Here is a 21625-nt window from a genome sequence, read left to right on the forward strand (position 1 = left end):
TTTGACTGCTATAGAGAGCCCTTTATGAAGTGTTACCTAAAAAATCAAATGATGATTTGTAGCTTTTACACTTGTCATGAAGCTTAAATAAGATAATGCATACAGACTGCCTAGCAGAGTGCTTGGAGTATAGAAAGCATTAAGAAAACGGGGTCTGCTACTGTTGTTGCTGAGGAGGAGACGGTCTTTACACTGCTTTTCTTTCTCACTTTCTGCTTCTCACTACCTGCATTGCAGGCCTGACCTATTTTTTGTACCAGGCTCCAGCAAAACTTCTGCAGAGCGAGGCTTGATGCCGAGGGTGCCACACCCTGGTGTCCTCAGTGCATGGCCAATGAGTAAATCCCGTAGAAAGGAATGAGGCCAGGGAAGAGCATGAGTGGTCTTTAATTCAAAGCAGGGAAGCTCCAAGAGGGTGACTGGGGCTGAGAGTTAGCGGTGGGTGGAGGAGGGGGCCTTGGCATCTTCTCTTTATGTCTCTGAGCTGTGCCTTCGCCACCCCTTCTGGGTCACTCAGTTCTCCTTCATGTCCTTGATATAGTCCTGGACCCACTTGTCACTGGGGTTGGTACAGACGGAATGGCCCCTTTTGGTGATGAAGCTGTGGAGCAAGAGGGAGAAGGATCACAAACCGAGGGGCCCAGTGGCCGGAAGAGACAGCCCATCTTCCCTCCCTCCTAAATTCCCCACCTGACCTATACTGCTTTTCCTTTCTTCCACAGAGGCAGCTTAGAGCCAGTCTCCTCTCTGAGACATACTCTTCGGTTCCTAGGACCCCTAGACCCATCTAGTCTCTGTGTCCCCCTGAGGAAGTGCCCTCTTGCCTTCTTCTCCCTTCTCTGTCATCTCCCCATCCATGGGGTCAGTTTCCCCATGGCTCCTGCAGGCTCCAGCCAGAAAGCGCTCAGATTGCCCCTCAGCTGCCTCTCCCCATGTAGTCACACCTGGGAGGTACGCTGGGGGTCCCCATTCCACCACCACTCCCTGCTTCCCTCCAGGAGGCCCTGCTGGCTCCCTCTCCCCCCAGTGTGATGTGTGTGTACCACCTACACAATTCCGGGCTTGGAGCACTGGCTGTTGGTCTCATAGTAATCCATAATCCGCTGACGCGGGATCTTGTAGGTAGTGTAGGTGAAGCAGCACTCTGAGGGGTGGTAAGGTCCCCCTGAGGAGAGAGCATCAGATGCTGAGGAGGGGCCCCTTGTTAAAGGCCATACCATTGGCTGCTCCTGCAAGCTGAGGGCATGGAGGAGGGAAGGAAGGAGGAGACAGCCCCTCAGAACTTGGAGGGGAGAGTAGGCTTTCCTCATCTTCTCTTCTCCTTCTCCATGGTACTCCTGGGCTCTTCTTTTTCTCCTCCCTCATCATCAATCACCCTTCCTCCTTTTCTTCAACCCCTCTTGGAAAGACTGGTGGATGACTTTCAACTCCAGGATTGAAGAGCAGCACACTCAGATCTTCTTACACCATCTCTGGGGGCCGACTGGCAGAGAAGGCTAGGGACTTGGCCAATATCATGCAGCCTTCATGCCTTATTCGGGAAAGGTGCTCCAAATAGGAGGAATATTTGGAAGAAATCCCAATAGGGATTTGGAGACATGCCATTTGGGAATGCAAACCCAGCCCCTCCTAGTGCTCCACCCTGCCCATGTCCCCATTGAACCGACAACCTGCAGAGAGAGCAGGATGCCCACAGCAAGCCCCAAGGACAAAGGCCACAGAGTCAGGGCACCCAAATCCTAACCTAACCTTGCCTGTGCTTCCTGTGTACTGTGGCCATTTTACTTTCCCCCTGTTCCCTCCTCTGTAAATGAGGCCCTTGGACTGCATCAGTGGTTTTTACACTGAGCTCCCTGGAGCTCTGGGGGCCTCAGGGACTATTGTGGAGGCCTTGCTGCATTTGAGAGTGGTGTCTTGTACCCTACTCAACCCATTTTTTCTGTTTTACATATTGGGCCTCTGTGGAAGATATTGCTTGAAGAAAAGGTTTTGTGGTCTAAAAAGTTTTAAAAATCACTGGATTGGGTGATTTTTTCATCTATTTTCTGATTGAGAAGTTTCATGGCTTTTATAGGAGAAGCAAGGTGACAGCAGCCACCCCAAGCTTGAATTATAGAGGTAGCAGGAAGGACATTGTAGGCCAAGAGCCCTGTACAAACAGGCACATGTTGTGGTTATGGAGTGGAGAAATCAGGTGTGTGCATGTTATGTGACCCTGCTTCATAGAATCATGGATGTGCATCACAATGGCCTCAGAGGTCACTGAGGGTGGCCAGATGTCTGGGTGGAAGGGTCTCATCCTGTTTTCCAGCTCCATTCCAGGCAGCATCCTCACGATCCAAAGAACGGCATAAGGGGCCCCTGTTTCCTGAGACCCAGTCAGAGCTCCTATACTCTCCCACCTTGTTCCTCTGAGCTGACAAATGACATCGGAGAGGGCAAGTCAAACTGTGCACATACCCACCAACTTTAGCTGTATTTTAACAACCTTCGGTTTCCCCCCAGTTTCTGAAAAGGAGAGTAGGTAAAATGGAAGAGTGATAAATAGTTTTGGTTATCTCTAAAGGCAGCTTATTCTAAGAAATCAGCTGAGAAAAGGGGGCCTAGGATGGACCCCACACTGTCGTGTTTCCCCCCAGCCCATACCCAAGCAATGCTGCACTCACTGGGCACAGGTGACGCTGGAAGCAGGCTGGGCCCAAACCTCAGGAGGCCAATAGAAAAATGCCCTTGAGGGGCTCAAGACACTGCTCCTAATCTCCCTGAGGAAATATACCCCAAATGGGGTGGGCCACTCTTTTGCTTAGCGGCAAAGAGAGAGAAATTGAGGGAGTAGAGAGGCAGGCTGGTCTCACTCCATGTCCTTGAGGGCAAGGGGGGACTGGTCCTGGGGGGCAATGATAAGAGATCAAGGCCATGTGAGGCCTGGAGATTCAGGATCTGTTTATTTGGAGACTAGAGGGCATTTGGGGTAGTGGAATGAAGCCTGGAGTCTCCCAAGTCAAGTCTCATTGGTCAAGGCTGGAAGATCCCAACTTAAACTCTTAAGCAGAACCTACAGTCCTAAGTCTCATCTCCATCCTGCTCACCACACCATGGGGTGAAGTGCTGTGGTGCTCAGTAGATAATTCATTTATATAATGTTGCTATACACACAATTTCAAGAAGATACCAGCCCTCCTTTCTGAGTCCCTGCTCCTGGTCTTCCCCTGAGCCCCAACCTCACTCCTGCTTATTTCCCTGCAGGCTCTAGGTTGGAAGGAAGACAAGGCATTGCACTCACGTGAGGAGGATTCAGTCTTGGTCCCTAGGGCGATGGTGATGAGGAGGAAGAAGGGAATGGCAGCCACGGAGATCTTCATGCTGTGGGAAGCTGTTGTGGGAGGAGAGCTGGCCTGGTGGGAGCTTCAGAGGCTCCTGCGGTGAGGAATTGTTGAGAAATGATCATTGAGGCCAAATATTTTTTAAAATAAGGGAGCTGAGACTTGGAAGGGAAGTAGGAAAGCAGTGATGCCTCAGCAATTTCATATCCTGCACATGTGTTGTTGGTGGCCTGAAGGAAGCAGGGAGAGCCAAGGTTTAAGGGAGGAAATGGTCTTCCATCCCCAGTGGGAAGAAGTTCAACTCTTTTGATAGAAGCCTTTCCCTAGGCATGAACATGAGCACAGGGCTGGGGGCACTGTGTCACACTTAGCAAAAGATCTCAAGGCTGGATGTGTCCTGTATCCAATTCCATCTCAGGCCTTAGAACAGGCCACGTGGGGCCTGGACATTCAGGATCTGTTCATCTAGAGACTAGAGGGTGTTTGGGGTAATGGAATGAGGCCAGGACTCCTCCAAGTCAGGTCTCATTGGTCAAGGGAAATCCTAACTTAAACTCGAAGCAGAACCTGCAGTTCTCTGTCTCATCTCCATTCTGGTCACCACACCATGGAGTGAAGAAGTGCTGTGGTGCTCAGTAGATAATTCACTTATATAATGGTTGCTATACACACAAGCCACTGTCCCAGTTGCCTTATGAATATTAGCCTATTTAATCTTTAGAACAGCAGTTGAGGAAACAGGCTCAGAATCAAAGCCTAAGCTTTTGACAGTTGGTAAATGGAACTGGGGTTCAAATTCAGGTGGTTTGGCTTCCAAGTCTGTGTTCTCACCCATTATGCCATAAAGAAACATGGGACTCCCAACGGAGCTCTGTAAAAGCTTATGGGTTTTCTATAAAGCCTTTAGTCTTAGTCCTTTCTGAAATCAGATAGTGGATCTCTTTGGGACCTTCTCCTGGTTTCTCTGACTTTTGCTGCAAAGAAGCTTGGTGGGAACCCTAGAAAATGTCTAATTCAGGGATAGCTAGTAGGTTTCATTGATTAGTGGTGGACTGGAGCTCTGTGTTGGAAATGATTCTGAGGCCATATCCAGGCACATTGGGAAGATACGCTGTGACCAACGTGCAGTTTCTGTTGCAGTGCAGCTTGCATGCTATGTATCTGCCATTTGATTTGTCTAAACTGGCCATTTACTGAATGGAAGCTGGGAATCAGAAAGGACCAGTGACTTTCTCATGTGCACACAGTGATTTGGATGCAGGACAGATCTCATCTCCGCAGGCTCTCAGCTTAGTGCCCTCACCATGCTGTTCTTGGAGGTACATCCCCCATTCTGCTTGCTGATGTGGTTAGATGGTTATTTAATCTCCTCTCCTCATCTGAATCATCAGGATGGAGAACATCTATTATTTATCTTTGCCCATTCACGCAGAACCTAGTGTATACCAGGTGCTTTATGAATATACATTTTAAAAGAAGGATGAATAAACAAATTGAGCCAGGTCTACATATGTGTATCTTATAGGAAATGGCTGAAATCTCATGGTTAGTTGTGGAGACAGTCATCAATTAAAAATTTTCTATATTTCTTATCATCAATAACAACATTATGTAAACCCTTCAAGTTAAATGATAATAATTGTTATCAGGAACAATCTCAGGAAACAAGTTGTTTATAGGAAAAGTGAGTTGGAAAGAAATAATGCTTACTTCTTGTTTTTGTGGAAACTAGCCAACCTGCCAAGTTGTTTCTAGGAGACTTACAGGAAGTTCCTGTACTTTTCCAGCAAGTATTGAGTTCCTACCTACATTAGTCTGTGTGTGCCAACTGCTATCATAAACAATCCAGCAGACTAATTAAATAAAAGTTTATTTCTTGCTCATGTTACAGTCCAGTGTGGGTCAGTAGTGGGATGATGGTGTGTGTGTTGGGATCCTCCATGTACTCATTCAGGAACCAGGCCTTTTTCTACCTTGGATGCCACCATTTTCAGCACAAGGCCTCCAAGCTTGATACAAAAAGGGAGAAGCAGAGGAGGATTGGGAGATTTTTGTGGATCAGTTCTGAAAATGGTACAAATTACTTTCACCCACATTCCATGGCCAGCATCAAGTAACCTGGCTCCAACATAATGACAAAGGGATGGAAAATATACATCATCTGTATGCTTAGGAAGAAAAAGGAATAGGTTTTGTGACCACATCACTTCTTTGACACAGTATCATATGCCAAGTCCTGGGCTAGGCTTGGAGGGAGGGATTGAAGATGACCCTGATCCCAGAGGTCTCAGAACTCAAAGAGGGACTAAAAAAAGTAAAGGAGAATTGCAATACAACCAGATGAATGAAATTTGATGGCAACATAATTAGAGACCTTAAATGTCCTCCTGTTGCCCCCTGTTGAGTATGAAGAGCCTATTTTAAAAATATTTAAAATGTTTTTCAAAGCAACACATACATATATTGGTTTAAAAAACTGAATAGTACAGGAAGGATCTGTAGGACATAAACCTTCTGAGTTCATGCTTGCCTGAAGAAGTCATTATTTAGCCTTCATACTTGATTGATATTTTTGTTGGGTATAGAATTCTACAATGGAATATAAGAATATGTTTCTTCTGAAACTCATTTGTGGTGATCTGGTGTTTCCCCTCTCTAGAAAATTTTAGGGTTTATTCTTTAATCTTGTTTTCTTACTTTTTGGCACAAATAGATGTTCCAGACTCATCTTGTACTTTCCTTGGCCCAGCTCTGGAATTAGCCATTTCTTCCATGAGTCTCAGTTTCTTTTACTGAAAAATGATTTTGAGAAACCAAAATCTGAGTGCTTGGTGTGTTCATTGCTATGGGAATGGCATCACTTTTAGATCTGAGCTTTTAGTGGCTAGAACCTGGAAATATATGTAAGCATATGTGTATAAGTATGTATTTAAATTTATGTCTATTTCAAGTATATCTATTTCATATATTATTAGCAATTTGTTTTTGTTTTTGTTTTTGTTTTTGAGATGGAGTCTCACTCTGTCACCCAGGAGTGAGGTGGTGCATTCTCAGCTCACTGAAACCTCTACCTCCGGGGTTCAAGTGATCTTCCTGCCTCACCCTCTGGAGTAGCTGGGACTGCAGGTACAGGTCACCTTGCCCAGGTAATTTTTGTATTTTTAGAGATGGGGTTTCACCATGTTGGCCAGGCTGGTCTTGAACTTCTGACCTCAGGTGATCCACCCGCCTTGGCCTCCCAAAGTGCTGGGATTACAGGCGTGAGCCACTGCGCTCGTCCTATTATTAGCAATTTCTATGTCCTCTTTCTAGCTATATGAAAAAACAAAAGTTTATACCACTATGTCCAATTCCAAGTAAACACCACAGAGTTATTTCAGTCTTTCCTGTTTCTATGTTTCCCTCCCTCCTCTAACAATGGGGACTCCTGCTCCCATTAACCTCAATGTATGTACTTATTTGCTGAGTTCCCTGTATGTAACAAATCTCCTGGCCACACTGGCTGTATTCTGGCCTCTGGTCCCACTGGCCTCAACCATGTGCATCATCTTCTCTGCCCTGGCCCTGGTTGAGCCCTCAGTTGAGGGGATGAGTTATATTACTTTTAAATCTTGTCTCTGGTTCTAAAAAGAATAAAAATATGAATGTTTCTATTTCCTATTTTATGTCTTGATGATTTCTGTGAAGCTCTGTTTAGATTTTTTTTTTTTCTTTGAGACGGAGTTTTGCTTTGTTGCCCAGACTGGAGTACAGTGGTATGATCTCAGCTCACCGCAACCTCCACCTTCCACGTTCAAGTGATTCTTCTGCCTCAGCCTCCCGAGTAGCTGGGATTACAGGCGCCTGCCACCACACCTGGCTAATTTTTGTATTTTAGTAGAGACGGGGTTTCACCCTGTTGGCCAGGCTGGTCTTGAACTCCTGGCTTCCCAAACTGCTGGGATTACAGGCATGAGCCACTGTGCCCAGCCCTCTATTTAGATTTTTAAGATGACTTTTATGCACTTTTTTTTCTAGCTATTTTGTACAATTTCCAATTTTTTTTTTTTTTTTTTTGAGACAGGGTCTCACTCTGTCACTGTCACTCCAGGCTGGAGTACAGTGGTGCGATCTTGCCTCACTGCAGCCTTGACCTCTCGGGCTCAAGTGATCCTTCCACCTCAGCCTTCCAAGTAACTGGGACTACAAGTGCGCACCATCACACCTGGCTTATTTTTGTATTTTTAGTAGAGAGGAAGTTTTTGCCATGTTGGCCAGGCTGGTCTCAAACTCCTGGCCTCAAGGGATCTGCCCACTTTGGCCTCCCAAAGTGCTGGGATTATAGGCATGAGCCACTGCACCCAGCTCAAGATTTTTACTTTTAAAAATTCCAAATTGATCGTCAGACTATTTAACCATGTGTAAAACTTTTTCCAACTCCATATTTCTTTTATAATTAAACAGCTTTGATGAGCTTCATCATAAAAAAATCAGATATCAACACAAGTGAAGAGCTGGCCCATTTTGTTACACATCCTTGAAAAGACAATTAAGACGCATTTTTCAACTCTTTTATTTTTTGATTACTAAAGAAATATGTGCCTTTCAGAATACTGCAAACAATGGTGAAGTTACAAAGTCCTCTTCAAATTTCCACTGCATTCTGCAGCATCAGCGTTACCTGGAAACTTGTTAAACATGCTGACACTTTGGCCCTACCCCTGTCCTACTGAACCAGATTTCTAGGGGTGGGAGCCCACAATCTGTGTTTTCACAAGCCTTCCTGGTGGCTTTTATGCATGCTAAAGTTTCAGAAGCCCTATCTATCACACAGCTTTCTAAATGCTGTGGTTCAATCTTATGTTGGTCCCTTCAGTCACTGGCCAGTCCAACTAGGGCCTGGGGATACTTGAGTCCCAGGTTGGTTGCCTCTAGTATAAATGTCCTCCTCTTTTTGCTCCGATGTTGCATAAAAATGTGGAGACTTAGCAATGAATTAGATATGACTTTTTGCACCCAAGCATCATTCTTATTCCTATTTTCAGTCTTCTCTATAAACTGACATATTCTTTTTTATTTTTTATTTTTTTTGAGACAGAGTCTCACTCTGTCACCCAGGCTGGAGTGCAGTGGCATGATCTCGGCTCACTGCAACCTCTGCCTTCCAGTTTCAAGCAAGTTTCCTGCCTCAGCCTCCCGAGTAGCTGGGATTACAGGTGCACACCACCACGTCTGGCTAATTTTTGTGTTTTTAGTACAGACGGCGTTTCACCATGTTGGCCAGGCTGGTCTTGAACTCCTGACCTCAGGAGATCTGCCCACCTTGGCCTCCCAAAGTGCTGGGATTACAGGCGTGAGCTACCGTGCCCGGCCCTGGACTGACATATTCTTGAAGGGCAATAGTCTACTTTGTTTGGTTTTCATGGTTTTCCTAATGCCTAGCACAATGCATAACCTAAAGCAGCCACTCAATAAAAATCTTTTTGAGTGGCAATAAATACATGTTTCAAGATTCCAGAGAAATGGAGGTGGGTCCTTCTGGCTGGGATGAAGGGGGAAGGTTTTATGGTAGCATTTAATCTAAGCCATTGAGGTTGGGTTGAGTTTTGCTGGGCAGAGTTGAGAGGAGGGCATGCCTGGCAGAGGGCACCACACAAAGCAAGGAAGCAAAAAAGAACATGCTGTTTCTGAGGAACTGCGAGAACAGAGTATGTATTATGCAATTAACCTGCACATAGCATGTTTTTTTCCCCTTCAAGACCTCAAAGACCTTCTGTGAGTGGCTAGATGCTTGGTTAGAATGGAAAATCTTGGGCTGGGTCTGGTGGGTGGCTCACGCCTATAATCCCAGAACTTTGGGAGGCTGAGGCAGGCAGATCATTTGAGGCCAGGAGTTTGAGACGAGCCCAGCCAACATGGAAAAACCCCGTCTCTGCTAAAAATACAAAAATCTGCTGGGCGTGGTGGTGGGTCCCTGTAATCCCAGCTACTCAGGAGGCTGAGGCAGGAGAATCACTTGAACCCAGGAGGTGGAGGTTGTAGTGAGCCAAGATGGCACCCCTGCACTCCAGCCTGGGTGACAGAGTGAGACTCCATCTAAAAAAAAAAAAAAAAAAAGAATGGAAAGTCTTGGTTTTCATCCCTCATTTCTGTTGAGTTGCCATGACCCAACACCTTCATAAGTGGCCCTTTGGCATCCACACTGCCCAGACGCTCTCCCTCCTCATTTCATCCTTCTAAGCTAAAAACCTGACCTGTCAGAGAGAACCCAGTGAAACCACATGAATCCTACTTAGGTCTAGGACAATTTTAATTGAATAACCATTTAAATTTTTTTCTAAGGCTCTGAGACAAAATCTCCATGGAGAATCCAGAAGCTTCCGGATTGCCATCCCCTAGTCATATATTTAGGTACCAGTGAGCTGCTTTCAACTCAAAGCTTCTGAATTCAACAGCATTCAGTGGAGCAGTGAGAGAGACATAAAAGGTCATAACTGGATCAAAATGTATGCCAGACGCCAGGTGTGGTGGCTCACACCTGTAATCTCAACATTTTGGGAAGCCGAGGCAGGAGGATTACTTGAGCCCAGGAGTTCAAGACCAGCCTGGGCAACAAGTGAGACCATGTCTCTAAAAAAATAAACAAAATTAGCTGGGTGTGGAGTGGTGCACGCCTGTAGTCCCAGCTACTCAAGGGCCTGAGGTGGGAGAATCACTTGAGCCCAGGAGGTTGAGCCAAGGTGAATGAGCCAAGATTGTGCCACTGCACTCCAGACTGGGTGACAGAGTGACAGCCTGTCTCAATAAACAAAACAAAGTAAGCCAGAACTCTGAGCATCTGTGTTTGTCTTTTTCATCTCTGTAAATCTTGTTGAAATGACAGAAGAAATATAAAAATAAATAGAACTCATAGTAGCAGTAAGGAGTCAGAAAATATGACATTGGTCTACCATAAGGTGAGACATTTCTGTTTTATATAAAGAACATGGGGCCAGGTGCAGTGACTCACACCTGTAATCCCAGAACTTTGGGAGGCCGAGGCAGGTAGATCACTTGAGGTCGGGAGTTTGAGACCAGACTGGCCAACATGGTGAAACCCCATCTCTATAAAAACTACAGAAATTAACCGGGAATGGTGGCAGGCACCTGTAATCCCAGCTACTCAGGAGGCTGAGGCAGGAGAATTGCTTGAACCCGGGAGGTGGAGGTTACAGTGAACCAAGATCACGCCACTACACTTCAGCCTGGGCAACAGAGCAAGACTCCATCTCAAAAAAAAGAAAGAACAAAAAAAGAACATGGGTCAGCTTGATGGCAGATCACAAGAAGGCTGAAAAAACATGTATCCTCATATAGGTCAAGGAGAAGATCATAGAAAAAGAGGATTTTCCCAGCAGAACCCTGGATAATGTGAAGATCAGAGTCAGTGGGTACTGGGAGAAGACATTTGCATTGAGTGAATAAGCTATGACCTTGCTAGTTCCCATTCAGGATAGTCAGGTAGGGCATTTGCCCCAGGATAAAGCTACAAGCACAGTTTTCAAAATAAAAAAGGATATTTGCTGTGGGAACCTCTTGGAGGGGACAGTGGACCAGAGAGAGAATTGGGCAGTGCCCTGGATAACTTCTGGTCAAGGACAAGAAAACTACTCCCATCCCTATCCCCTTACTCTGTCTGCCAGACATTAAGCTGACAACCTCACCAATGATATGAAAGTCCTAAAGCCTCTGCCAAAAGTCTCCTGGAACTGATAAACAACTTCAGTAAAGTTTCAGGACACAAAATCAATGTGCAAAAACCAGTAGCATTTTTATACACCAATAGCATTCAAGCTGAGTGCCAAATCAAGAATGCAATCTCATTTACAATAGCCACACACACACACACACACACACACAAACGTAGTAATACATGTAACCAAGGAGGTGAAAGATCTCTACAATGAAAATTACAAAACACTGCTGAAAGAAATCATAGATGACATGAACAAATGGAAAAACATTCCATGCTCATGGACTGGAAGAATCAATATCATTATAATGGCTGTATTGTCCAGGCAATCTACAGATTCAATGCTGTTTCTATCAAACTACCAATGTCATTTTTCATAGAACTAGAAAAACTATTCTAAAATTCATATGGAACCAATAAAAAGAGTCCAAATGGTCAAATCAATCCTAAACAAAAAGCAAAGCTAGAGGAATCATATTACCAGACTTCAAAGTATACTATAAGGCTACAGTAAACAAAACAGCATGGTATTGGTACAAAAACAGATACATAGACCAGTAGAACAGAATAGAAAATCCAGAAATAAAGCTGCACACCTACAGTCATCTGATCTTTGACAGAGTCAACAAAAATAAGCAAAGGGGTAAGGATTCCCTGTTCAATAAATGGTGCTGGGATAGCTGGCTAGCCATGTGCATAAGAATGAAACTGGACCCCTATTTTTCACCATATACATAAAATAACTCAAGATGGATTCAAAATTCAAATATAAGACCTTAAACTATAAGAACCTTAGAAGAAAACCTAGGAAACACCATTCTGGACATTGGCCTTGGCAAATAATTTATGACTAAATCCCCACAAGCAATTGCAATAAAAACAAAAATTGACAAGTGCTCAAGTAAACTCAAGAGCTTCTGTACAGCAAAAGAAACTCATCAACAGAGTAAACAGAAAACCTACAGAATGGGAAAAAATATTTGCAAACTATGCATCCAGCAAAGGTCTAATATCCAGAATCTGTAAGTGCCTTAAACAGTTGAACAGCCAAAAACAACCCCATTAAAAAATAGGCAAAAGACATGAACATACGTTCCTCAAAAGAAGACATATAAGCAGCCAACAAACACATGAAAAAATGCTCAATATCACTAATCATCAGAGAAATGCAAATCAAACCCAAAATGAGTTACTGTCTCACACCAGTCAGAATGGCTATTAGTAAAAAGTCAAAAAAATAACATGCTGGTGACGCTGTAGAGAAAAAGGGAACAGATATACACTGTTGGTGGGAATGTAAATTAGTTCAGCCACTGTGAAAAGCAGTTTGGTGATTTCTCAAATAACTTAAAACAGAACTACCATTCAACCCAGCAATCCCATTACTGGATATATATTAATAAAAATCATTGTACAGAAAAAGACACAAGCCCTCGTATGTTCATCAGAGCACTATTCACAATAGCAAAGACATGGAATCAACCTAGGCGCCCATCAGTGTCGACTGGATAAGAAAATGTGGTACAGATACACCATGAGCTACTTCTTATGTAGCCATAAAAAGAATGAAATCATGTCCTTTGGAGCAACATGGATAAAGTTGGAGGCCATTATCTTAACTGAATTAATGCAGGAACAGAAAACCAAATACCACATGTTTTCACTTGTAAGTGGGAGCTAAACATTGGTTACACATGGACATAAAGATGGCAACAATAGGCGCTGGGGACTACTACAGGAGGGAGGGAGGGAAGGGGGCAACGGTTGAAAAACTATTGGGTGCTATGCTCAGTACCTGGGTGATGGGATCAGTTGTACCCCAAACTTCATGCAATATGCCCAGGCAACAAACCTGCACGCGTAACCCCTGAATCCAAAATAAAAGTTGAAATTATAAAAATAAAGACAATAGAAAAAGAAAAAAATTCTAAAAATTCCCAGAGGGTCTAAAAATTTTTTTTCTTACTAAGGAATAAGAAATCAATTGGCTTTGGAATTTTGGCCCTGTCTGAGATGCTAGAAGACAATTGAAGAATGTCTACATTATTCTGAGAGAAAATTATTTTCAACATGAACTTTCATATTCAGTTGAACCATTTTCACACTTAAAGACCAAAGTTTTTAGACCTTCAAAGTCCCAGAAAGTTTATTGTTCATATCAGTTGGAGTTTTTTGTTGGAAAGCTATACAAACTGACTCTGGTTGATTAAGCAAAAAGGACTTTACTGCAAAGATTTTAGGTAGTATCAGGAAGGCTTGAAAAGTAGGTAGAGGCTGAGTGCAGTGGCTCATGCCGTTAATTCCAGTACTTTGGGAGGCCGAGGTGGGTGGATCATCTGAGGTTAGGAGTTTGAGACCAGCCTGACCAACAAGGCGAAACCCTGTCTCTACTAAAAATACAGAAATTAGTCAGGTCTGGTGGCAGGCACGTAATCCCAGCTAGTAGGGAGGCTGAGGCAGGAGAATTGCTTGAACCTGGGAGGCCGAGGTAGAATCCTAGAGAGACCAGCTCCAATGCCACATCCAAAATCATGCCACAAGAGTCAACTGGTGTGAGTCCTCTCTTTTTCTGCTTCTCTGCAACACCTGTTCCAGGCTCAGATCTCTGAAAGGGAGCATAGGTTGGCCAAGCCTGAGTTGGGGATGCCTGCCCTGGCACCCATGGAGCAAAGGAGAGTGTTTGCTTTTGTCATCTTTTAAAGCAGAAGGCAGTTCAAAGATATTCTAGCAAAATGAAAAATAAACCCTTTTAGGAAGGAAGGAAGAGGAAGAGGAAGTTTTGGGCTACGTGTCATGGTGGAATGAACTCAGGTGTGTGATGAGAAGAAATCCCAGTATGACTTATTATTATTATTATTATTATTATTATTTTGGCAGGTCCAGAAAGCATTTCTGCAAGTTGGAATAGGAAGTTAGAAGGTCCTTGAAGACTGTCTCGAAGAATGAAGTAGTTACCATGAAACCGATGGTGTAAATATGCAAGTGCAAATGTGGAATGATAAGGAAACAAAAAGTATTTCTCTTTGGGTTAATAGAAAAATATCAAAAGGAAATTATGAGAAAAATAAGAATTGTTATGGGATTATAATGGATCAAATGTTAAGTAAAGTAGAAAATGGTGTGAACTGGGTAAATGATGGAGTAAAAGAAACTTTCTTGAAATTGTAGCCAACCCTTTGAAGATTAGCTATTTCAGTAGAAGGGAGAAGATGAGATATAAGGTGAATTTGTATTTAATCATGTTGGGGCTCAGCAGTTGCTTCAGTTTTATATTAGTTTATTTCCTCTTAAAACTCAAGCAAAGTTAAAAAATTGAATACTCTTTATTAGATGCATTACTTTCATTACCAGACACAACAATATATATATTTTTTAAGTATTTCAGACCAAGAAACTCACAGGAGGTGTTGGAGGTGGGTGGCTGGCCTCTTTTGTCTCTTTATTATTATATTGAGTAGGGCTTCAGCTTTTTCATGCAATCCTGAACTCCCGGACCACTGGGTTTGGCACAGACTTGCCGCCCCTTCTTGGTGAGGAATCTGGGGAACAAGGGAGAGAAAGATTACAAACTGAGGTGTGGGCAGATGGAGACAGGGGGCCCCATCCTCCCTGCTCCTCAGATTTCCCAGTCAACACAGCCTGTTTTTTCCTTTCTCTGCTGATGGCAGCTCAGGGACAGTGTCCTTTTGAGACCCTCTCAGCCTGTGGGACTCCTTAATGACTCATGGAAGTGTCCTTGGGAAGCCTTGTGCTTGCTTTCTTCTTCCTTCCCTATCTCCTCTCCACTGGGAGTGTCTCATCCCTGATGCCCTGCAGAATCCTCGTAAGGACACAGCTGCCCTGTATCTGGCAGGATCCAGAGGGTGGAACCCGATGGACGCCCATCCGTCGTGTCCTCCCTGCAAGATGCTGTGGGCTGCTTCTTCCCCAACACATGGTTGGTGAGCTTGGCACTTACATGACACCTGGCTTGGAGCACTCGCTGCTCGTTTCAAAATAACTTTTCATGAGTGAACACGGGATGCTTTGTGAGATGTAGGAGGTGCAGCAGTCAGCAGCAAAGTGAAAGCCTGCAGCAAGAGAAAGCGTCATCTGAGGGCAAATCTTTCTCCTCGAAAGCACAGTGGAGGGTGAGAAGGCACAAGCCTCTGAAGACATGTTTCTCCTCCTCGGCTAGCACTTGCTGGCCTCTCCCTGCTTCAGACCCTCCCCAGGGTTTTGCCATGTGTCTGAGGGCACTCAGGGTGGGCCACAGCAGGACCAAGAAAATTTCCCCCAGAAGGGGAAGGCATCTGCAGACACCTGCAGGCATCAGAGAGCACCTTCTTCTCCAAAGGAGCAGGCTCTTGGGGCAGCCAGAGGGGAACAGAGAAGGCATCTATGGAGGGGGTCCCCCTACCCTGTCCTGATCTCCCTTGGAGATATTCACCACCCTCAGGACCCTCTCATTCTCCTCCCATTCTGTAAACAGGGACAATGGATCCCATAGTGCAGACCTGCACCTGCTGGCTGCTTTTAAATGTATGCCGTATCTGATCACTTACTGTTCAGAACTACTGGATTTTCCAGTGGAAGCTTTGACATCATTAACTCTGTCTCTGCATCTGAAAGAAACAGTACAGGGAAGGAAATCACTGGGTGGCAGCAGTATGTTTCAACATCTCCACCCACCCCATTGCTCATCCTCCTCCTGAGGCAGAGAGGCTCTGAAGCTGGACCACCACCACCTGTCTGGGTTCTAGGCCTGCCTCCTGGCCCATTTATTCCATTAGGGCCCTGAGACTTTTCAGAGACCTTTTGAAAATGTAGACATGAAAACTTTGTATTGACTCTGAAATACTAAAAGCAACTGAACCTCACACGGTTCAGTTAATGGAATGTCTACATGATGTGACACAGTCTACAAGTTTTTCTACACATTTCTGGAATAATTTTTTATTATAGGGCTCTGGAAACAGAGAGGTTTTATCAGCGTTTATGGTGGCACAGTATCCCCTTAAGTGAAGTGAGTCTATTATGGTATTTATTCATCCCAGTTAGCAGAAATATTCATGTGTTTGCTACAGAAAAATTGCTGTGTTTGATTGAAATAGTCTTCCTTGGCCCCACCAAGGATAAGTACCATCTAGGTATGTATTACTTTTTTTTTTTTTTTTAATTGAGACAGGGTCTTTTTCTGTCACCCAGGCTGGGGCGCAGTGGTATGATCATAACTCACTGCAGCCTTGAGGTCCTGGGCTCAAGTGATCCTCCTGCCTCAGCCTCCTGAGAAGCTGGAACTACAGGTGCGAGCCACAATGCCTAGCTAATAGTTTACCTTTTTGTAGTGATGAGGTCTTGCTATGATGCCCAGGCTGGTCTTGAACTCCTGTGGTCAAGCAATTCTCCTAGCTCAGCCTCCCAAAGTGCTGGGATTATAGGTGAGCCACCATGCCTAGCGTGTATTACCTTTTAAAAACCAGAGAAATTCTGTATTCCAAAATACATCTAGCCTGATAGGATTTTGATAAGGGATTGCATACCTGTATTATGCTAAATAGAAAAATGCAGCCAGGCGTGGTGGCTCAGGCCTGTAATCCCAGCACTTTGGGAGGCCGAGGTGGGCAGATAACGAGATCAGGAGATTGAGACCATCCTGGCTAACATGGTGAAACCCCATCTCTACTAAAAATACAAAAAATTAGCCGGGCGTGGTGGCAGGCGCCTGTAGTCCCAGCTACTCGGGAGGCTGAGGCAGGAGAATGGCGTGAACCGGGGAGGCGGAGCTTGCAGTGAGCTGAGATCGTGCCACTGCACTCCAGCCTGGGCGACAGAGTGAGACTCCATCTCAAAAAAAAAAAAAAAAAAATCTTTACAGTGGCCAGGCGCGGTGGCTCACACCTGTAATCCCAACACTTTGGGAGGCCGAGGTGGGCGGATCACCTGAGGCCAGGAGTTGGAGACTAGTCTGGCCAACATGGTGAAACCCCGCCTCTACTAAAAAGACACAAAAATCAGCTGGGCTTGGTGGCGCATGCCTTAATCCCAACTACTCTGGAGGCTGAGGAAGGATAATTCATTGAACCTGGTAGGCAGAGCTTTCAGTGATCCGAGATCGCACCACTGCACTCCAGCCTGGGAGACAGAGTGAAACTCCATCTCAAAAAAAAAAAAAAAAAAAAAAATCTTGACAGCTCGGGAGAGACTGCCCATTGCAGGGCTAACCAATTCATAGAGATAGCTAAGGGTTTAGACCTTTCATATACAAATCAAAAAATCCTGAGCCCATATGCCCATCCACCTCCTTTGCTAACTCACACACACCAAGCCAGTATTTCCACTGCTCTAAATCATCCTAAGGATGAGTACTAGACAGCTAGAGACTATCCCTATACCCCAAAGCCTGAAAGGCTTATTCAGACTACCCAGCCCTAAAGTGTATGCTCTGTGCTGCCTTGCTTTCCCCCGAGAAACCCCAATAAAGGTTCTGGCATAGGTTGTCCCTTCCCTCCTGTTTGTGACTCCTGCCCGTGACTCCTGCCCGTGACTCCTGCCCTGGATGCTTCCCTTGGGGCCCCGTGTGTCACGGTGTACCTCCTTCTCTTGGGAAATGTAAATAATACATTCTTTTTTCAATGTCATTGACCTCTTTGCGTTGACATTCACCTCCACAAATTAAGATTCCACAGGAACAAGTGAGACAGTGATCTTGGGTGAGTCACTTACCTGGCTGGTTCCTTTTCCTCTCACAAATCATAATTTTACACCAGATGGTAGATAGCAGTTCTAGCACCATAAAATTGTATGATTCTTTTTACAAATTTACAATTTAATTACAGTTCTTTTGTTCCAGCTAAAATATCAGCTAAGGGAAAAAATCAGATAATTTTTGCTGTGAAAAGGGAAATAATTGGCCCCAAATGGGACCAGTCATCTGTGTACCTTTCCCCGCCAGGGTCCAAAGGCTGCAGACAGAGCCAGGTCTATACCCTGCTGGTGCTTTTTAAATAAGTTCCATAACCATGTCTGGGCTGGAGAGTAGTCACAACATGTCTCCGTCCCAGAGCTTGAGTTACCATGGACCTGGTCACCTGGGAGAAAGCTCACTGGACTCACCATTTGTGAACTGGGCCTGGGATCCAAGGACAGCAACAAGCATGAGGCAGGAGAGGGCAGCCACGGAGACCTTCATCCTCCTGGTGGGCAGGCAGGGCTGGCCGAGGACTCCTGGGCTCACTGCTTCCTGGCTCCCCGGGATACCAGCTCTGCCCTTGTATTTATAAGAAGAGGAGGATCCAGGAAGTCCCAGGGCAGAGGTCAGAATGCTCTTCTTTAGCTATATAATAGTTACCATGCAGTTTCTAAAAAGAGAACAAGGCTGAGAGTGCAACAGAAAGTAGAGGACAAAGATGACTTGAACTGTCCCTGTGGATTTCCCGAATTATCCCAATAGCTACAGGCAGATAAAAAAAAATGTTTCAAGGAAGAGTCTTCCCTCCAGGAGATTAATCTAATCCTCTAAGCCTGAGATAGGAGTGGGGGACTATCTTAGACTCTTGGATTCAGGATTGGGATGTGGTGAATGCTGCCTTTTTTCCCTTTCCAGTTCTATTCCTGTAGTTCCAACCAGGAGGTGTTAGCAGTGGTGAATCCATATCAGTCTGCAGCAGCCTCAGTTCTTGCCTCCTCAGAAGAAATAATTCAACTGAGGGGTATAAGGCAGAGTGAGAGACCGAGACAAGATTTAGAGCAGGAATGAAAGTAAAGAACACTTGGAAAAGTGCCAAGCAGGTGACTGGAGAGATTCAAGTGCCTGGTTTGACCTTTGGATTGGGGTTTTATATGCTGGCATTCCGCATGCGCAGTGGTCTGCCAGCACTAGGGAGGGGCTGCATGCACAGTGTGCTTACTGGAGTTGTACGCATGCTCACTTGAGGCATTCCTTCTTGACCAGTCAAGTGTTCCTAGGTCACATACCAGTTGAACTCTGCCATTTTGCCTCTTAGTGCACATACTTGAGCCTACTTGCCTGACTCCTGAGATCTTAATGGGAAACTGTTGATCACCAGTTTGAGATATTTCTATCTATTGGGAGACTGTCTTTGCTGGTGCTGGCTTTGACCAATTACTGTTTTAGAGAGACAGTGTAACAACTGCCTGACCATCATCTGATGGTTGTCTGACATTCATGGTGGGGCAGGGGGCTCTCCCGCCCTGCTCATGTCTGAATAACTACCTACTATGAAACAGGGATTTTTTTTTTTTTTGAGACGGAGTTTTGCTCTTGTTGCCCAGGCTGGAGTGCAGTGGTGCATTCTCACTCACTGCAAACTCCACCTTCTGGGTTCAAGCGATTCTCCTGCCTCAGCCTCCTGAGTAGATGGGATTACAGGCATGTGCCACCACACTCAGCTAATTTTGTATGTTTAGTAGAGACGGGGGTGTTCACCATATTAGTCAGGTTGGTCTCGAACTACTGACCTCAGGTGATCCACCTGCCTCGGCCTCCCAAACAAAGGGACTTCAAAGGTAAGAATGAGTCAAGCTGGCCACGAAAATGGAGAACTGGAAAATCTCAAGATTAGAGGCTAGAAGACCTTCCCAGGCACTGATGATGCCACGTCAAGTTCTAACCACCCCATCTTGGACCTTCAAGTGCCTCCAAAGCCTATGATAAAGGGTGGCCACCAGAGGGAATTCTCTAATCTGCGAACTTGGCTGTGATTTTTCAAACAGAATCTGCCAGTGGCTTCTCATGGACTTGAGTCAACTCCAAGGTTTGTGTATGAGTGTAGAAAGTCCTTCAGAATAGGGTTCTCCTTATATGCACAACTCCTCTAGTTTCTAATGTAATGGCATTTAAATGCATATTAAGTTTAAATAGTGATGCACCTATTAATTTAGATTTTATACTTTTTTCTTTTGGAGTTAATTTTTTTTTTCAGGACCCCAATACTAAATGCCTAATGGGTAAATTGGCCCTGTGCAATACTAATTCCTAGCAACCCATTAACTCTACTCAGCAGTCAGCTCTGCCAGAAAGACTTCTTGGCTGTCGCTCCCACGAGGCTGGGCCAGGTGTCCCTTTTCAGTGTTTCTGGTACAGCATCTATCTGGTACTTAAATCTACGATAGCACCAGTCACATTCTATTTTAAGTGCTTATTTATTTAATGGCTCTCCTCATTCCCCCGCCCCCATACAACAGGCTGTGTGTGTGTGTGTGTGTGTGTGTGTGAGACATTAAAAAAAAACATGGCCAGGTACAGTGGCTCATGCCTGTAATCCCAGCACTTAAGCTTGAGCTCAGGAGTTCCAGACCATCCTAAGCAACAAAGCGAGACCTCATTTCTACAAAAAAAAAAAAACAGGCTTGGTGGCACGGGCCTGCAGTCCCAGTTACTTGAGAGGCTGAGGCAGGAGGATTTCTTGTGCTTGGGCGTGCTGCAGGCTGCAGTGACCTATGATCACACCACTGTACTCCAGCCTGGGTGACAGAGTGAGACCCTGTGTCAAAACAAAACAAATCAGCCACATAACATGAGATTTACCCCCTTAACAAACTTCCAAGTGTGCAGTTACAAGGTCCTTGAAGAATGTCTCCAACGGTGAGATAGATACCGTACCTGCTGCACAAAAACCATCGCATTGCAGTAAAGAGTTATTACTCAGATCAATCTCATCGAAGGCTCACAGGTTAAAAGTTTTTGAAAGGTAGTTTGGGGGAGGAGATGAATGTGGCTAGGCAAAGGGAGCTTGCTGCTGACTGCTTGGGGGGTGCAATCATAGAGGTGTGGGAAATTCACCTCCTGTAGGCTGAATGGCTTCTGGGTGGTGCCGCAGGAGCTGTTGGTGGGTCCAGGTGGAACCATCATCAGTATCTCAATGCAAAAAAAAACCTGAAAAGGTATCTCAGAAGGCCAAACTTAGGTTCTACAGTAGTGATGTTATCTGCAGGAGAAATTGGGAAGTTGCATATCTTGTGACCTCCACAATAATGGCTGGCAATCATTTATGTCTGCACTTTCACCTTAGCAAAATTCAGGCTCCTCTATCCTCCTAGCCTGGTAGTCTCTCATTAGCTTTACAAAAGTGGTTGAGTTTTGGGGAAGGGCTAATCATCTAAACTATAAACTAAATGTCTGGCAGCTTGAAAGCTAAAGGCAAGAAGAGAGTGGGCTAGATCAGATCTTCCCATTGTCATGGTTTTCTCACTGTTATAATTTTTGCAAAGTTGGTTTCATTAGTATAAAACAAATGGTGTGAGTCTGCAAGTACAAATGCAGAATGATGATAATGAAAGGAAGACAAGTATTACTCTCTTGGTTAATAAGAAAAAAGGTTGCTAAAAACCTTAGCCAAATTAAATTTAACAGAGTTTAACTGAGCAAAGAACAATTTGCGAATAAGGAAGCCTCTTGAGCCAGAGTAGGTTCATAGAGACTCCAGCACAGCCACGTGGTAGAAGATTTATAGACAGAAAAAGAAAAGTGATCACAGGAAATGGAAGTGAGGTACAGCAACAGCTGAATTTATTACAGCTGGGTGTTTACCTTATTCAAACATGGTTTGAATAGGTGGTCCCCTTTGACTGGACAAAACTCAGTGATTGG

The 21625-nt window shown here is 44.7% G+C and overlaps 2 protein-coding genes and 2 long non-coding RNA genes across 7 annotated transcripts in view; 1 reads left to right on the top strand and 3 right to left on the bottom strand.

Moving 5' to 3' along the window:
• CCL14 (C-C motif chemokine ligand 14) lies at nucleotides 1–3442 on the bottom strand. 2 transcript variants are annotated; one of them, NM_032962.5, is made up of 4 exons: nucleotides 3284–3442; nucleotides 2461–2508; nucleotides 1051–1165; nucleotides 1–601 (listed from the first exon to the last, which is right to left on the bottom strand). In NM_032962.5, exons 1-4 carry the CDS (start codon nucleotides 3360–3362, stop codon nucleotides 514–516), a joined length of 330 nt encoding a protein of 109 aa, NP_116738.1. In that variant the 5' UTR covers nucleotides 3363–3442; the 3' UTR covers nucleotides 1–513. The 2 variants fall into 2 exon arrangements, with proteins under 2 accessions (NP_116738.1, NP_116739.1); NM_032963.4 differs by lacking the exon at nucleotides 2461–2508.
• Nucleotides 369–18751, bottom strand: CCL15-CCL14 (CCL15-CCL14 readthrough (NMD candidate)). Of its 2 annotated transcripts, NR_027921.3 has the most exons (8): nucleotides 18130–18751; nucleotides 15579–15638; nucleotides 14993–15104; nucleotides 14434–14573; nucleotides 3284–3417; nucleotides 2461–2508; nucleotides 1051–1165; nucleotides 369–601 (listed from the first exon to the last, which is right to left on the bottom strand). It is a non-coding gene; the product is annotated as a CCL15-CCL14 readthrough (NMD candidate) (long non-coding RNA). The 2 variants fall into 2 exon arrangements; NR_027922.3 differs by lacking the exon at nucleotides 2461–2508.
• On the bottom strand, nucleotides 14295–18266 carry CCL15 (C-C motif chemokine ligand 15). The gene is made up of 4 exons (NM_032965.6): nucleotides 18130–18266; nucleotides 15579–15638; nucleotides 14993–15104; nucleotides 14295–14573 (listed from the first exon to the last, which is right to left on the bottom strand). The coding sequence occupies exons 1-4, from the start codon at nucleotides 18203–18205 to the stop codon at nucleotides 14480–14482; spliced, it is 342 nt and encodes a 113-aa protein (NP_116741.2). The 5' UTR covers nucleotides 18206–18266; the 3' UTR covers nucleotides 14295–14479.
• The window catches only part of LOC107985068 (uncharacterized), an 11372-nt gene continuing 7988 nt past the window's right edge, over nucleotides 18242–21625 (top strand). Inside the window, exon 1 of one of the 2 annotated variants that reach the window (XR_001752854.2) lies at nucleotides 18242–18329. This is a non-coding gene — a long non-coding RNA (uncharacterized LOC107985068). Of the gene's footprint in view, nucleotides 18330–18619; nucleotides 19791–21625 lie in introns of those variants that run through there. The other variant, XR_007065725.1, reaches the window with a different exon arrangement.

This window comes from Homo sapiens, chromosome 17, assembly GCF_000001405.40.
Source record: "Homo sapiens chromosome 17, GRCh38.p14 Primary Assembly".
NCBI lineage: Eukaryota > Metazoa > Chordata > Mammalia > Primates > Hominidae > Homo > Homo sapiens.

Bases quoted from the DNA above. Each gene is read 5' to 3' on its own strand.
- CCL14 (NM_032962.5), bottom strand. From the start codon at position 3,362: ATGAAGATCTCCGTGGCTGCCATTCCCTTCTTCCTCCTCATCACCATC. The intron at 2,509-3,283 runs GTGAGTGCAATG...TCTCCTTTTCAG, and splicing joins CAAGACTGAATCCTCCTCAC to AAACTGGGGGGAAACCGAAG. The intron at 602-1,050 runs GTAGGTGGTACA...CTTGCTCCACAG, and splicing joins TGCTCCAAGCCCGGAATTGT to CTTCATCACCAAAAGGGGCC.
- CCL15 (NM_032965.6), bottom strand. From the start codon at position 18,205: ATGAAGGTCTCCGTGGCTGCCCTCTCCTGCCTCATGCTTGTTGCTGTC. The intron at 15,639-18,129 runs GTGAGTCCAGTG...TGTTTCTTTCAG, and splicing joins CCAGGCCCAGTTCACAAATG to ATGCAGAGACAGAGTTAATG. The intron at 14,574-14,992 runs GTAAGTGCCAAG...CTTGTTCCCCAG, and splicing joins TGCTCCAAGCCAGGTGTCAT to ATTCCTCACCAAGAAGGGGC.